The sequence below is a fragment of the Homo sapiens genome, chromosome 14 (genome assembly GCF_000001405.40).
Source record: "Homo sapiens chromosome 14, GRCh38.p14 Primary Assembly".
NCBI lineage: Eukaryota > Metazoa > Chordata > Mammalia > Primates > Hominidae > Homo > Homo sapiens.
Window position 1 is genome coordinate 93,623,603 of NC_000014.9, and position 16,399 is coordinate 93,640,001.

The window sequence follows — 16,399 nt, forward strand, 5'->3', positions numbered from 1 at the left end:
AAGTTAATGGGGCTGGGCGTAGTGGTTCATGCCTGTAATCCCAGCATTTTGGGAGGCTGAGGCGGGCAGATCATGAGATCAAGAGATCAAGACCATCCTGGCCAACATAGTGAAACCCCGTCTCTACTAAGAATACAAAAATTAGTTGGGCGTGGTGGCGCACGCCTATCATCCCAGCTACTCAGGAGGCTGAGGCAGGAGAATTGCTTGAACCTGGGAGGCGGAGGTTACAGTGAGGTGAGATGGTGCCACTGCACTCCAGCCTGGTGACAGAGTGAGACTCCGTCTAAAAAAATAAAATAAAATAAAAAAGTTAATGGGACTTTAGAAGAAATGGAATTGGCTAGGGATGATTATTTTAGTAGATATATAGACTGTGGAATGTTAAAAACTGGTGAAGGTCTTAAAGACCTCTAGCCTAGCCCCTCATATTATACAGGAAGATACCGAGGCTTAGAGGAGGGGATGCACCAGGTCACATGGCCAGACAGAAGCAGTGCCTGATTCCAGTCACGTTTTCCCGCTGTTCCACACAAAAGCCACTTCTAAGGGAATGCACTCGGCTTTTTTATTTGCCCCAGGCATTTCCAGAGGTTTCTAGCTGCCCTTTAGCTCCTAGGACAGAGCTGTCTACCTCAAAAACGCGCTGTAAAAATCTGTTGAATGAACATTGGCGTGTTTGGAAAGGGTCATGCTCCAGCCAGGCAGGGAAAAAACGGTCCTTGTTCATAACAAGAAAGTTTAAGAAGTTAAGAAGGCTTTCAGGGAAACTGGGACACCTTTTTATTGTTTGGGGCCAGGAACATGGTTGCATATGGAAGGAGGAGGGCATTGACCTAGAAATGATAGAGGTCTATAGGGCTGGTGCATACGAAGCTGAGGTCTACAGGGTGAGTCTCTGTGATGTGTAGGTTGCATGTAGGTTCTAGCATGCAGGTTTGTGTGTGCAACTGTGTTGGCTTCTTTATTCACCCTTATGTTTGATTGTTCCCCAGACTACCAGGGAGGAAATTATTTGTTAACAGAACAGGGGAAAAATACATGATAGTTATAACATGTCTTTAAAATGGCATAATATTATTTTACTGTCATCATAATTGTATGTCTCCATAAGGCTTTGCCTCCCACTGACTCTGATCTGATCTCTTCTGCCCCTCCTTGCTGGGCATGGGAAGGAGTCCCGTGTGCTCAGAGCATGACCCAGGCGTCCCCAGACTTTCCTGTGTCCATCATCAGGAGTGAGGGAGGCCCATACACTTGCCCCTCCAAACCCTCCCAGACGCACAGCCTTGCCCCTGCTAACTGCCAGGAGTCCAGGACTAACCTCACTGTGCACTTCACTCTGTTTACGTCAGTCCCTAGAGTACTGGGTCGTCCTCCGTATCCCTCACTCAGAGCTCCACAAGGCCTTGCATACCTTCTGTTCTGAAGCTTTCTCCTTCGTTACCCTGACTCCTGAAACCCTTCCCCTGTGTCCTAGGAAATTCATGGTCCTTCATGAGCAAAATCCCTCACACACATTCTCCTCTATTTCCCTTGCCTTCTGAGTCTAATGGAAGCCCAGCTCTCCCTGAGGACATTGCTTTCCCTACAGCCCATGTCACTGGACTTGGCCAGGGGCAGCATCTTCCTTGCTCCACACTTCCCCTTTCAGACCCTTCCCTTCTTGTCTCTAGAAACTCCCTCTCTGAGCTGCATACCCTCAGATCACGGCACCCACTACTTGCATTGCTGCATCATCACGAACCCTGGCTCTTCCTCACTTGTTGACAAATTTGATTCGTGGCCCTTCTTATTCTTTCCTAAATTATTCCTGTCTTAATTCCTGTGGATTTTAATATTAGTGTAGATGACACTCCTGACACTTGGTTTCCTTGAATGCATCTTCTCCAGCGATTGTTTTTTTATCCTCCACCTTAGCTCAGCTGCTCACACCCATGGTCACATTGCAGACCTTATTATTTGCCAATAACTGCAACCTCTTCATGATCTCAGTTTCATCTCTCATCCTCTGATTACCATTTCTTCTCTCCCTGGACAATTGTGTATTGATCCAAGTATTTTTTTGCTGTCCCTCCCCTACTTCGTGTCTTTTCTCCTTACTCAACTTAAACTCAAGGCTATCAATGTAATCCCTCCCTGCCTGCACCCTCTTGGGCCTTTCCCTTTTTAGATTTGCTTGGCTAAACACAACCTGTGTTAAATCCAGCTTTCCCTCTACCAGTACCTGCACCTATCAGATGAATGTGACTGGGTGAAAACACATAATGCATTTTTCAAGAAATTAAAAGAAAATTAAGAAATGTGCTTGAATTCCTTAACATGACCAGTGAAAACATAGATCCAGGATTGGTCAGCAACAGCACATGGGCCAAATCTGTCCCACTGCCTCATTTTGCAAATGAAATTGTATGAAGTGCAACTACATGCACAAAATAAAATTTAAAAAAAGAAAAACAAAAACACATAATGTTGGCTGGTATCATTTTAAATTAATGGCCATGAACCTCAACTGGGTCCTTCAACCTGACAATCGTAACATATTTTCCTGGTCCATTCACATTTCCAGTCTCCTAAATGACTATTTCATAGCTACTTTTCTCCCCAAACTTTCAATAAGTCTTGCAATTGACATAATTAGAAGGACTTTCCACAGCCTCCTATCACCTTATCTGCCCACCTTCCAGCTTCTGCACCTACACACCTGGACTTCCTGGCTGGGGCTGTATGTAGGTTAACTGTCTGTAGTCCTGTCTACACCCAGCCTTTCCACATGTGGACACGATTCTATCTCTCTCGCTTACTCAAGAATATAGGCCCCTAAAATTCTCCCTTCTGTATCCTCTCTTAGTATTTTTTTTTCCTAAAGGACCCTTGATTTGAGCCTGCAAACATAATCTTATTTCTCTTTCTTAAACAAACAAAAGCACTTGATCCATGTTCTCCCAACTATTAGCCCATTTTACTCCTTTCCTTGTAGCAAAACATTTTGGAAGAGATAGAATAGAGTTGTCTCTCCCAAATTCTATTAAAGTTGTCTCTTCCAAACTCTATACTAAAACATACTAATGAATTAAAATTAAAAGAAAACAAAAACACATAATGTTGATTGGTATCATTTTAAATTTTGGTATCATTTAATTTTTGGTATCATTTTTAATGTTTTAGTATAGAGTTTGGAAGAGACAAACATTAGTATAGAGTTTGGAAGAGACAAACGTTAGTATAGAGTTTGGAAGAGACAACTCTATACTATCTCCAATTTTCTTCCAGTCTGTTATTTCTAAAAGCTGTTCATAAGCTGGGCATGGTGGCACACACCTGTAGTCCCAGCTGCTTGGAGTGCTGAAGCAGGAGGATCTCTTGAGACTGGAAGTTGGAGGCTGTAGTGTGCTATGATTGCACTTGTGAATAGCCACAGCACTCCAGCCTGGACAACATGGTGATACCCTGTCTCTTAAAAAAATCATTCCTATGAAGCTTTCATTCCTACTATTTCACCCAAAGAGCAGTTGTCAAGGTCACCAGTGTCCTTCACTGCTAAATCTGTCAGCAGTCAGTCATGAGGTCTGATGCTGACATATCTGCAGTCTTTGACACTGTTGGTCACCCCATCATTCTCTTTGGTTCCTCTCTATTTCCTTAATGACAGAGTGACTTGTGGTCTCTGTCCTTGATCCTAGTCTCTTCTCTATGAACTCTCCCTCTCTCAATGGTCTCATCTGGTTTTAGCCTTTAGATATTGTCTGTATGCTAAGACAACCATCAGTGACCTATTGCGGAAATAATGCTGTGTAACAAACACCTCAGCAGCTTACAACAAGTATTTATTTAGTTCGAGAGTCTACAACTCACCTGGGGATTGGCCAAGGCTGGGTGGCTAGGCTCTGCTTCTCATGCCTGCTGACCTCGACCTGGACCTTGAAGCCTGGAAATATTCTGCCATGGTGATGGCAGAGTCACAAAAGAACAAGCCGTGTTGCACAGGCACTTTCCAAGCCTCTGGCCATGTTATTCTTGCAAACATTCTGTCAGCCAAAGCAAATCACATGGCTGAACCAAAGTCAAGAGGGGAAATATACTCTCCCTCTTTAGTGGTAGAACTTTAAAGTCACATGGTGAAAGGCATGGATTCAGGGAGATATGAAGAATTGGGGCCACATCTCTCAAATATTGCATGGGACTATTTTTACTCATATGAAAATATTATCTGTTGTTTATCTGAAATTAACATTTAACTGAGCATCTTCTATTTAATCTGGCAAACTTAATCTACCTTCAAAACACATCCAGAATGTGGCACCTTCTTCTTACCTCCACTGTTTCCACTCTGGCCTGAGCCACTGACATCTCTGACCTAGATGAACTGCTAGAGCCTCCTGACTTTAGAAAAAATGGAATTGGCTAGGGATGATTATTTTAGTAGTATTTTATTTAGTAGTAGTATTTTACACTCCTATTACCTTCATGTCCTCTCAACACAACAGCCGGAGTGATCTTTTAAAATAGGAGATTACACCATTCCCCTGCTTAAAGACTTCCAGTGACTCGCTATTTCTTTCATAGCAAAACACAAGTTCTTTAAATTCCTGCAAAGCCCTATGTGGTCCTAGTCCTCATTGGCTCTCAACTGCATTCACACTATTCTCACCACAATGCTACCTAGCCACAGTGACCCCTTGTCAGGTCTTGAACACCCGCCTTTGTATTCTTTACCTTTGGGCCTTTCCACTGATTGCTCCCTCAACCTGGAACTGCCAAATATCTGTCTGGCTCATTCTCTCCCTTTTAATTCTTTGATCCAACACCAGGTTCTCTGCGATGCCCTACTCTCCAGCCCCTACCTGGTATCTTGATGTCTGTCTTTCTCTTCTCTGTTTCTCTCCTACAGAGAATTGATCTTCCAACATACAATAATTTATTCACTTTTATGCGTATGAATTATTGTCTGTCTCTCCCCTCCCAAATGAAAGCTCCTGAAGGCAAAGATTTTGTCTGATTTGTTCACTGACTCTATCACAAGTGACCAATAGAGAGCTGGCAAATGTCTGATGAAGGAATGAAAGGATAGCCTGACATTTTCTTCCCATCACTATAAAAATTGAATACAAATATTTTAAGCCAAGTGGATAGCTCTATTCAGATATTTATCTTAAATTTATGCAAGTAAAATCTTTCATAAAATGATGGAGGGCTGAGGAAAGATTGCCTCGCTAACAGAATCTTAGTACACTAATGCTTATTACCGACCTTCTTACAGCAAGACGTTTCTTTAAAATTAAAGATACAGCAAGGATTTTAATGGGGATACCAAGGCCAGGCACGGTGGCTTATGCCTGTAATCCGAGCACTTTGGGAGGCCAAGGTGGGTGTATCACCTGAGGTCAGGAGTTCGAGACCAGTCTGGCCAACATGGTGAAACCCCATCTCTACTAAAAATACAAAAATTAGCTGGGCATGGTGGTGTGTGCCTGTAATCCCAGCTACTCAGAAGACTGAGGCAGGAGAATCACTTGAACCTAGGAGGCAGAGGTTGCACTGAGCTGAGTTCATGCCACTGCACTCCAGACTGGGCAATAGAGCAAGACTCCATCTCACACACACTCATATACACACACACAAATAGGCATACCCAAACTCTAAAAGGCTTAATAATCTTTCAGAGAATCCTTGAAAATTAGCTTTAAGCTTTTTCACTAACATTATTGGTGAGATTATTAGGCGTTAGTTGTAGCCTGCATAGAGTGCAGGCCAGTAAGGGTAAGAGAGATAATTATGCATGTTTTTGATTAGTAGTTTGGGGAGGATACCTAAGAGAAAAATCATAGCTGACCTTTACTATCTTAATGGCTAAAGTAATTTAACATTAGTCATTATGCTTTATTAAGAGGGTTTGGGAAACTTTACAAGAGTTATGCTTTTTTGTTATCAAGAGGTTATTAATCTGGCAACCATACCTACTTGAAAGGCCTCTGAGAATCAAAAATAGATGCTTCGAAATCAGTGCTCAGGAACCTTTCTCCTAGACCCTCACCTAGGATCTGTTCTATAGTTTAGCAAGTTTAATGATCATCTAATAATAGAATGGCATTTGTTTCCTTAAAGTGTATGTTTGTATGAATGTATGAGGTTTGCTCTCTGGCAAGAAAAAACAATTTGCACCATGACAAGGATGAGACAGAAACACTATTAAGCTTAAGAACTTGAAGCCATTTAGGGTTGACATCCCTGAATTCCAGTACAGTGTAGTCATGGGAGCCCATGGTGGTAACTCCAAGCCAGCAAGATGCTCAGTATATTCACTGCATGGTGCTGCCTAAGATGGCAACAAGGTTTGGAAAGAAGCCAGTAAACTTTTCAGCAGGTTTTGAAAAATAATTTGTAGTTACCTAGAATAATGTGGGACAGAGTGTTTCCCATTACTGATAGGTTAATAAGACAATATTATATGCAGAAAATATTTCACTTTAAATTCAACATTTGTCAAATAGGAGAGCCAATGGCAGTCTGTTTCTTGCTCAACAAATAAAATACAAAATCTGAATTAATCATGCATATTTATTTCGGGTTGAGTACAGTCCATGCTCCTAAATCACTTAAGGGTTAGCGAAGGCTATGGGCAAGGAAACAGACAATTAGATTATAGTGTGGTAAGTCTGGAGAAGGTTAAAGACAAGGTGCTCTGTAATTACATCAAAAGGGCACCTGACCCAGCATTTTTGTTTGTATATTTTTGTGGAGAGAGGTTGTAGAAGCCTCCCTAAAGGAGGAATTTTCTATATAAATTGAGACGCAAATGATAAGTAGGAAATTGTCAGACAAAGGTGGAGTACCTAGACAGGAGATAGGGATGAACTATTAAGCATATTTAGGTCTTAGATGAAAAGAAATTTAGTACAGAAAGGTTAAGGAATTTGTTTGGGGATATGCATTGTGAACAGCTGAGCTTTAGCTCTGTAATTTTGCTATCATTAATCTCCAAAAGGCAGATCCATAGGTGCAGAATGTCACATAGAGTCAGCTCTCCCTGGAGCATTGTAACTAGTGTATATGTAATTCCATGAAAGTAATTATTAGGCCAGGAAAGTGTATAAAGAGTTGAATGGTTGTAGTAGACAAGAGGTAAAAGATATAGAAAAGGTTCTTGAACTTGCTTTTAATCAGTGTCCTGAGTTTTAAATAATATTTCTGTTTGTAGATCCTTCTACTAAAGGACTTTCAACTTTGGAAATGCCACGAGAATCTTCATCTGCCCCTACGTTAGATGCAGGTGTGCCGGAAACAAGTAGCCATTCCTCAATATCAAGTAAGATTTCCTCTGCTGATTATTTCATCTATGCATTTATTTTGGAACACTGTCTGCTGCCTTGTTTTCAATTTTCCCAATCTTGGTATTGTATATATATTTTAATGTTGCATCAGCTTCCTTGGTGATAGTATGTTGTATATTCTCAGAGACCCTGAGGAGTAGGATGGCCCACTTTCGTCCGTATCTCTAGTGTTTGATAAATCACTATGGTTACTGACTGGCCAAGTATCCTAATTTGTTAAGGAATGATCACTGAATTCCATTATTCAATAAAATAAAAATTGTATAACCTGAACATAAAACACGGAACAGGTTTTGGGGCACATGAAAAGCATTGTCTATGGCAGAATTTTACATGGAACACTTTTATTTAATTTGAGTCGCCTCCATCATTGACAAAATTTGATCTAGGTTATCGTAAAATAAATGTATGATATATCATATTCCCAAAGTCATGACTGAATTTAGCTCTTTTGGATTGGAGAGTGGAAATGGCACGACATTTTACAGGACCTGTAGGAGGCGAGTATTTTGAAACTGGCTTCTGTTACTGGGTCCTAGATTTTGTCCATGGGAGCTTGAGTTCCACTGAAGTTCCATAAGCATGTCCACATGTCTCAGTGGGGTTAATTACGAGACTTTAGCATGAGACAGTCTTACCAAGAATCAGAGATATGAACATAGATGCAATTTCTATAAACCTTTGTCATATGTGCTGATAAATGTTGTGTTCCATGTGGACATTGCCTGAAAAGCTATTTAATAATTTTCATTTGACCATCTTTTGATGATCCTGAAAAAACAGATAAAGATCTTAAATACTGGACTGGTAGTTTGGAACATCATCATCTTCATTGTTCATTCATTCATGCATTCATTCATTCAGCAACTATTTACTAAGTGTCTGCTGGATGCCAGACACTGTGCTTGGCACTGGAGGTCAAAAGTGAATAAATAAAACACCGCTTGTTCTCCAGGAGTTTGCAGTCATAATAGTAATTATAGCTACTATCTATTTAACATCTATCATGTGCCAGGCACTGTGCCAAGTGGCTCACACACATTGTTATCTGATCCAATTGTTACATCAACACATGCGTGATAGATGTTGTTGGCCCCATATTATAGATTAGGTAATTGAGATCCAGAGAAGCTAAATGACTTGCCTAAAGTCAAATATCTACTAAGTGATAGATTCAGGAATTGATGCTAGGCCCTTTAGACTTACAAAGCCATGTTCATTTTTAGTATACCACACTTCCTTTAAATAATTCAAATTCAGTTGTAATAAGGATTATGGAAATTCTAAGAAATAGTTTCCAAATGACAGTTATTTGCCCTTTTGGTAGCAAAGAAGAATGGCTAGTTCTGAATCTAATTATTCTTCTTTTATTACAAAAATCTGTTAGATCACATGATAAAATGCCAATTTTATGACCACATACTAAAATCATAAAAGTGTATCTTCTCCTAATTTGTACGAGTTATCTTTAATAAAAGATAGTGGGCTGGGTGTGGTGGCTCACGCCTGTAATCCCAGCACTTGGGAAGCTGAGGCAGGAGGATCACTTGAGCCCAGGAATTCGAGACCAGCCTGGGTAACATAGTGAGGCCCCAGTCTCTATAAAAAAATTAAAAATTAGCCAGGCGTGGTGGCGCGCACCATAGTCCCAGCTACTGGGGAGGGCAAAGTGGGAGGATCGCTCAAGCATGGGAGATGGCGGCTGCAGTGAGCTGTGATTGTGCCACTCCACTCCAGCCTGTGCACCCTGTCTCAAAAAAAAAAAAATGAAGAAATAAAAAGATAGTGAATTAGAGTATAATTTGAAATAGGATTATTAGCTCAGTAGGACTCAAATGATAGTTAAATATACCATAAAATGAATTTACAAATTACAAATGTTTCATGATCCCAAAGTCATGATTGATCTAGACTTTGGATTTAGCTTAGCACTTAATTAGATTTCCACCTTTCTCCTCCTTGCCATTAAAAGCATGCATTCTATAGCTCTTGGTGGTGTGTTCTTGGAGGTATCATGCCTGGTACCTTATACACTGAGCTAAACATTAAGGGTTTTATTCTCAGGGAATTCTGCTGTCTTTGAAAACACCTGAGAATTGAAGAAATTATTCAATCATCAGAGGTTTAAAATTTTCATTTGATTGAGTCTTCTAGATGCTGCTAAGTTTTAAATTTGTTGCATCTTCAAAAAGAATTCTGCTTTTGAATTTTACTTAAAGATGTGCTTTTCAAGTGAGTCATAACATTGTAAGTTTTACCAATTAGTGGCAAAAACCAGAGATGTTTAGTATTAGGTTGAGTAGTCATTTCCATGAGTTAGGTTAATATTGACTTTAAGACACAAGAATTCCCATCACATCCTTCCCTTTTGATCAGTTTATCAGCTGGTTATTTCGTAGCTAAACGTGTTGTGACCACCATTAATCAAACAGCATGCTAGTTACATTAAAAATAATGTTATAATTGATTTCACATCACACCAAGTTGCCACCTTGGTGCCATGATTGTGAAATGTGTGTATAACATTGAAGAGTTTCCAGGGGCCATGCGGTCATCCCGGTCTCTACCATCCCTTTCTAGGGCGTGTAGTTGATAGCTTCAGTTTCTGAAGTTTTTCTTATAACACAGAGAATAACCACAAGTTGTCAAATATACAAGGTATTTGGGGTCATGCAGAAAAGTTGCATCCATGATGCTCTGCCTCTCTCACTGGGCTGGTTGGTAGGGATTGGTGGGACTGCTGGGAATAGGACCAGAGGAGACTGCTTTCCAACTCAGCAATCTACTGGCAAAAGTGTTTTTCATTGTTTTCTGGTTTGGAAATGCTAATAACTTGACATTTCACTGATGGGATATGTTTCAATGCTTAACTTACAGGATAAAAATGTTACCACTTTTTAAAAACAAAGATGTGTACTAGAATATACTCGTGGAATGTTGTTTGATTCACATTTTTCAAACAGTAGGCAGAGGCTCGCACAGAGATTGAAAACAGCATTGACTTTGGAGTTGATATGTTTTGGTTTTAGGACCACCTCAGTTGCTGACTGGTTCCAAGTCATATAATTTCATTTGCTTCAATTTCTCTCTCTAAAAATTGGGGTTGATATGTGTCATCCTACCCTAAAATATACACGCACACACACACATCATGTACACACGCACACATACACAAGGACCTCATGGGGCTATGAGGAAGATGGAAATAATGTATGCACAAGCTCTGTTAAAGAAAGTTAAGCCATACATTTAAATTTGTTATTTGTCTTAAATCATTTTTGAAACATGGCAGAGTATATAATTTTAAAAGTAGATGAAGATAATCATATTTCATTCAGTTATAACTGGGATAAATATTTACAGGCGACAAATCAGTGCTAATGGGCACTGTTACCATCCTCACTGTGTGAAGAAAGGCATCCGGAACAGCAGAGTACCTTAATTTTTCATTTGAACAGAAGCATACAATTTACCAAAAATTATGAATAGCAAATGAAGGGTCAATTAAAATTCTATATGGATGTGTGGAGCCTTTGTGTGCTGTGGAAATTTATTATTATAATCATCTCCTAATTTCCTCCATCTAGCTCAGTATAGGCAGATGAAAAGGGGATCCCTGGGAGTTCTGACAATGAGCCAGTTAATGAAGCGGCAGCTGGAGCATCAGTCTAGCGCCCCCCATAACATCAGCAACTGGGACACTGGTGGGTCAAGCTTTTTCTTCTCATTCTACCTCTCGGATTAGTGAATGCTACTTTCTCTGTGTCCACTCTGCTCCCTTGTTAAAGAATAGATTTTCTCTCATGTTCTTTGGTTCAGGTAATTTTTCAAAACCACCTAAGGTAATTAGTAAGTCTATTTAAACTTCCCAAGTGTTCTAGAGTGACACGCTCTTCCGTTGAGGCTGGCCCAACTCTTGTTCTCTCTAAGACCCAGATTCCAGATATTAGGTTATTGATCTGGGGAGGAGGGAATGGAACTATGGTTTCATGATGCAAATAAAAAAGAAAACACACAGCAGATTATCAGTATTCTCTGTTGTATAAACTACAAAGTACGCCCCAAATGAGGGAATATTTATAGTAATACTAATAGTGATAAAAATTGTCAGCTTAGTGACATCATGATCTGCCAGTAGGTTTGGGAATATGAGTTCTGTGTTTTAGCCAGCAGGGTCACCAGGTTGCAGCCGCACACCCCCATGCTCATAAGATGGAACTGCATCTAACCTCAATTTTAAAGTAAGAATTGACTGCCATGACATGTCTATTCTAAACATGATCACTCTGCATTTTCTAAACTTTGTTACCACGTTTTGTACGTGTACTACCTTATCAAGCCAGTAGTACAGCCACAATCCTCTTTTAAGTGCCTGCCTTTTCTGTTTTTTTTCTTCCATAATTAAATGGGTCATTTGAGTTACAAGATTCTATATGTGAAAACACCTTGCAACATGCATGCACCACTAAAATGTAAGGGCTTATTATGGTGATATGCTCTGGGGCCTACCCTTGAATCGGACTCTTTTAGTATCGTGATTAATACTTTCTGGCTGCAGTGATGTGAGATTATTTTAATATTCTTCCTGATGACTATGAATTATAATATCCACAAAAGCAAAATATTGAGATACTTTTATTTTCTTCAAAGCCATAGTATTTATGTACATAATTTTACTTGCCCTCATTATTCTTAGAGAGAGAGAGAGAGTGCTAGTCTAGATAACTAAATCCCACACAGCATACCCAATCTCACATTTAACAGATAGTTTCAACTCTCCTGGACTTTATAAGGGTTCTTTACATTGTAAAGGTTTAGTGTTTTCTCTTCATTTTAGTGATATGTGGTAGTGAGCAGTGAATAGCCAAGAGCCAACAGGCAAGGGAGAGAAGGAGAAAGACTGGACAGCCAACCTCAGGAGTTCACTGGGTTTGAATGAAGTCTTTCTGCCTACACCAAAGAGGACTGTGCTTTCTTCTTTATGGAGATGAAGCGATGTAAGGAACTGAGAATGGCAGCTTTTGTTTGATTAGGTCTCTGATAATTAAATGCTGATGTGAGGGCTCTGAAGATGATTTTTACCTTGCTTCTGTTTTCTGCAGCAGGTAGCTCAGCCTAAGCTAACCAACCAGTTTAGATTCCGACTACAATGACAACCTACTTCAATGGGCACAGTAGTTATAAAAAGGCAAACTGATCTCAATTTTCAGTCCAAATTTTAATCTAAGAAAATCTACATGATGCCAAATAACCCATTTAACGGAATTTTTCACTTTTCAACCAAATTTCAATCTTGTTCATGTCACTCTGGTTTGCCATTTAATATTTCCCATTTATATGCTGTCTGAATTTCTTTCCCGAGTTTTCCTGGGCCTGTTTTCCATCCTCCAAATTGGTTCTCGTGGTTCTCGAGTCACCAAGTCCTACAAGCATCATCTCAATATTCTTGTTTTGATTAGCGCCAGAAAAAGTCCTCCTCACATCCGAGCCTAGGGGAGAGTCTGTGACTGTGTAGTACAATGTTAGGTGGCATGTCACTTTAAACTACACATGTAGCTTCAGTAATTTGCTGGTCTCCACCAGAACAGATGTGGCCATGTAGGCACCTGAGAAAGGCAGCCTAAAACATGGATCTGATCAGTTCACGTCAGCACACACCAGCTCCACCCTGAGAGCTGCCTCTTCTCCACCCATGCATATGAGACCTGCCTCTTCTCCACCCATGCATGGCGCCATGACTTACTGCTTTGCCTCATCTTTCATGTGAACAAACATTTTTGAAGCACCATGCCTCCATTTTTGCCCCCTCCCCCTTATTCCTGTTCCCCATCCCTCAGTCCAACACCTGTCATTTCCTTCTACCAGTTCCACATGTTTCCAGTGTGACCTTTCTGGCCATTGCCCCAAATGATCACTTATGTACTTACTGATTTGCATAAAACATTTCTGTCATGGCTGTGATATTAGCCTTTCGTTTCCTATCTGGAGATATGAGATTTGAACTTTTTTGTGGGGGCAGGGTGGGGTGCTTGTCTGGACTTTTTGGGATAGTTTTAGATGCTGTCCTGCTTTTAGTTGCATTTCATAGAACTGAATGGCAGGTTTGTAGTAAAGCCCCAAATAACCCTACCCTAAAATCTAGGATGTGTTCTGTAAATGTTAATAATACATAGTAACAGTGACCAAAAAATTGGCCCCCAGAGATGATTGGTTAAATTCTTTGTGTTCTAAATGGTGCTAAGATGACCACATCAAAGACTGAAACCCTCTATTTATCCACAGAACAGATACAGCCTGGGAAACGCCAGTGTAACGTGCCAACGTGCCTAAACCCTGACCTGGAGGGACAGCCATTGAGGATGAGAGGTTAGTTGAGTCACAGAGTCTCTGGCTGTAAAAGCTGAAGGAGACTGGACATGTCCATCATTTGGTCACCCAGCAGGTGCAGGCTTTTTCTTAGCACCTCCATGGAGTGGGGATGACCTTTGCCCAAACACCCCCAGTGGCTGAGAGTGCGTGACATCTCATCTTTGAACATGGCCAACAGTTCTTCCTTATAGTGACTTTCTAACCCTTGCACACAAAACAAGTCTAGTCTTCTCTCATATATATATATGTTCAAGCCATTCTCCTGCCCCAGCCTCCCGAGGAGTAGCTGGGATTACAGGCATGCACCACCACACCCAGATAATTTTTGTACTTTTAGTAGAGATGAGGTTTCACCATGTTGGCCAGGCTAGTCACAAACTCCTGACCTCAGGTGATCCACCTGCCTCGACCTCCCAAAGTGCTGGGATTATAGGCATGAGCCACCATGCCTGGCCTCTTCTATAATTTTTGGACATTGCTTATTCCCTCAGTCCTTTCTGGACCAGACATTCCTAGGTCCTTCAGCATTCCTCCTCAGACATATCAGTTTTCCATATCATGCCATATCTACTCTTCTGAGCATGGTCCAGCTAATCTGTATTTTTTTCTAGAATATTGAGGTCATAGGCTAATAGTTTCTTTCCAGCTCTCTGAAGTATACATTGAAAAGATTCACTTGAATTGATGCTGCTCACAGAAGCAAGCTGAAGGCCAATCTGTGCTAAGGTCAGAATATTCATTTTCAAAATTAATCCCATGAATTTAAAGTAGTTAATTGTTACCTTTGTTCTTTTTTAATTGAGAAGGCAGATTAACCTATCATTGGTAGAAAAGCAGAATACCCAGAAAGAATTATAATCCCATCTCACAACTAGTCTTTTAAATCAAGTAGACCTATTTTTCTAGACCATGTCACTCTTCTAATTTTCCTAAGGAATGAGGTGCTATTGATCTCCAGCTTTTGCTCACATTTCTTTGGCAATGAATAGCAGTTTTAGTCCCTGTACTGGATGAGGTAAGATTCTTCTCATCTATGGGGCTAGGAAAAGCTTTGATGAGTAGAAGTAAGGGTGGTTGAACAAATCTTTGGTGCTTGTTCATGATCTGGTGACTCAGTAGCAGCAAAAGTGGAATGAAGTGATGAGAACACTAAGATGGAAAGTCAGTCTCTTTCATGGTAAACTCAAGAGCCCATCAGTACAGCTGGGGGATTGATCCATGCATGCCTTTGAGACAAACACCTTCATAATTTTTCCTGTCTCCAAGACTCGCAAAGGGACTTTTGTCAAAATCTTCAGCTTCAAAGTTGGGCTCTGGAGGTGGGCCCCTCTTCATTCAAATTTCTGAGAGCCCTCTGTTTCTGCTGCTAGCTCAGTGTAGCGTGCACTTCAGCTATTCAGAAGGGGAGCCAGTAGTGGAGGCATCAGAAATGTCGGCAGCAACTTGGGGGTGATAGGGACTGCCTTTAACATTGCAGACTTATTGTGACTGAAGTATAACAACGGTGGCTGAGGTCTGTGGCTTCCTTTTTGCATTTCCCACCTCCTCCTAGTACATTACTTTTTGTTCCTACTTCAGTAGCAATATTTAGCGATCCATTGATTCAGCCAGTGTTGCCCTATGGGGATCAGTGTCCAATAACTGAACCTGTCTGCTTTTATAGATGACGGCCATAAATATTGCATCATACATTCCGTGCTGTCATATGGAAAAACAACTTCACAATGCTATTGTCAAAAACACCTCTTTCTTGGCATTTGTATTAGGCAATAATTAGTTTGAAACTGCCAGAATGACTTCGAGTGCCTCCCTTTTCTTGACTTTAATTGTGATTACTATATAATAGTAATTGGCAATAATCTTCTGAAAGGCTTGACTCAGAGGTTTTTTAATTAAAAAATCAATTTCTTATGTTTCTAGTAAGTCTATGTATGTATCATCATATATTGTATGGGCTGAATTTTTCCACTTTTAGCACAAGCATTCTGACATCTGGTCAATGTGGTCTGTCAATGTTCAAGAAATGTGGAGTATTGAATTTAAATTTTCTGTGTGTTGGTTTCTTGAAGCAACTTCATGCGGTTTACCGTGCTATTTAGTAATCAATTGTGTCTTCATTTATCTTGGACTATTTCTTGCCTTTTCTGTTATTAATCAGTGTACATTTATGCTTGTAATTCTGTTGCTTCCACTCAAAGTAACATCTTTATGAAACAATTGAAGATCTTTGTGAATTATACACTTACGTATACTTAGGGAAGGATGTTATCTTGGATATAGCTGATAAACATAGTAGTAAAATTTGGATTCCCATTTGGGAGCTTAGGAAGTGACATAAAGATATTTTCAGATACTTTCCTTTGCAGTTTGGATTTGCAAATGTTCTTCTTATACTCGTGTAACCTTTGATCAGGCAAAGGAGTCTGCAGAATGGAAGCATCTTGACTTTTCAAAGGCTCAACACTATTTTTTCTTCCGAAAATTCAGATTGAAACACATTGCCCACTTGGCTAGCTTTATGAATATTTTGATTCCTTTAGAAACTCATTGTCTGAATCATTCTCCTATTTGAGGAAATCTTTCCCCTATTTGAGGAAAGGTCATACCGGGTTTTTGTTTGCTTGTTTGTTTTCTCCCAGCACCAAGATACTAATTCCTTGATGAGAAAGATTATTTAATGACTCTTGGATTTTTCTGCC

At 40.2% G+C, this 16,399-nt stretch overlaps 1 protein-coding gene across 33 annotated transcripts in view; it reads left to right on the plus strand.

Moving 5' to 3' along the window:
- The window catches only part of UNC79 (unc-79 subunit of NALCN channel complex), a 374,695-nt gene that overhangs the window by 290,421 nt on the left and 67,875 nt on the right, over positions 1-16,399 (plus strand). For 28 of the 33 annotated variants that reach the window (XM_011537027.3, NM_020818.5, XM_011537026.3 and 25 more), the window contains 3 exons: positions 7,199-7,306; positions 10,919-11,035; positions 13,614-13,697. In XM_011537027.3, coding sequence (XP_011535329.1) covers positions 7,199-7,306; positions 10,919-11,035; positions 13,614-13,697 — 309 coding nt within the window. The remainder of the gene's footprint in view (positions 1-7,198; positions 7,307-10,918; positions 11,036-13,613; positions 13,698-16,399) is intronic. The other 5 variants (XM_017021507.2, XM_017021514.2, XM_017021510.2 and 2 more) reach the window with 1 other exon arrangement.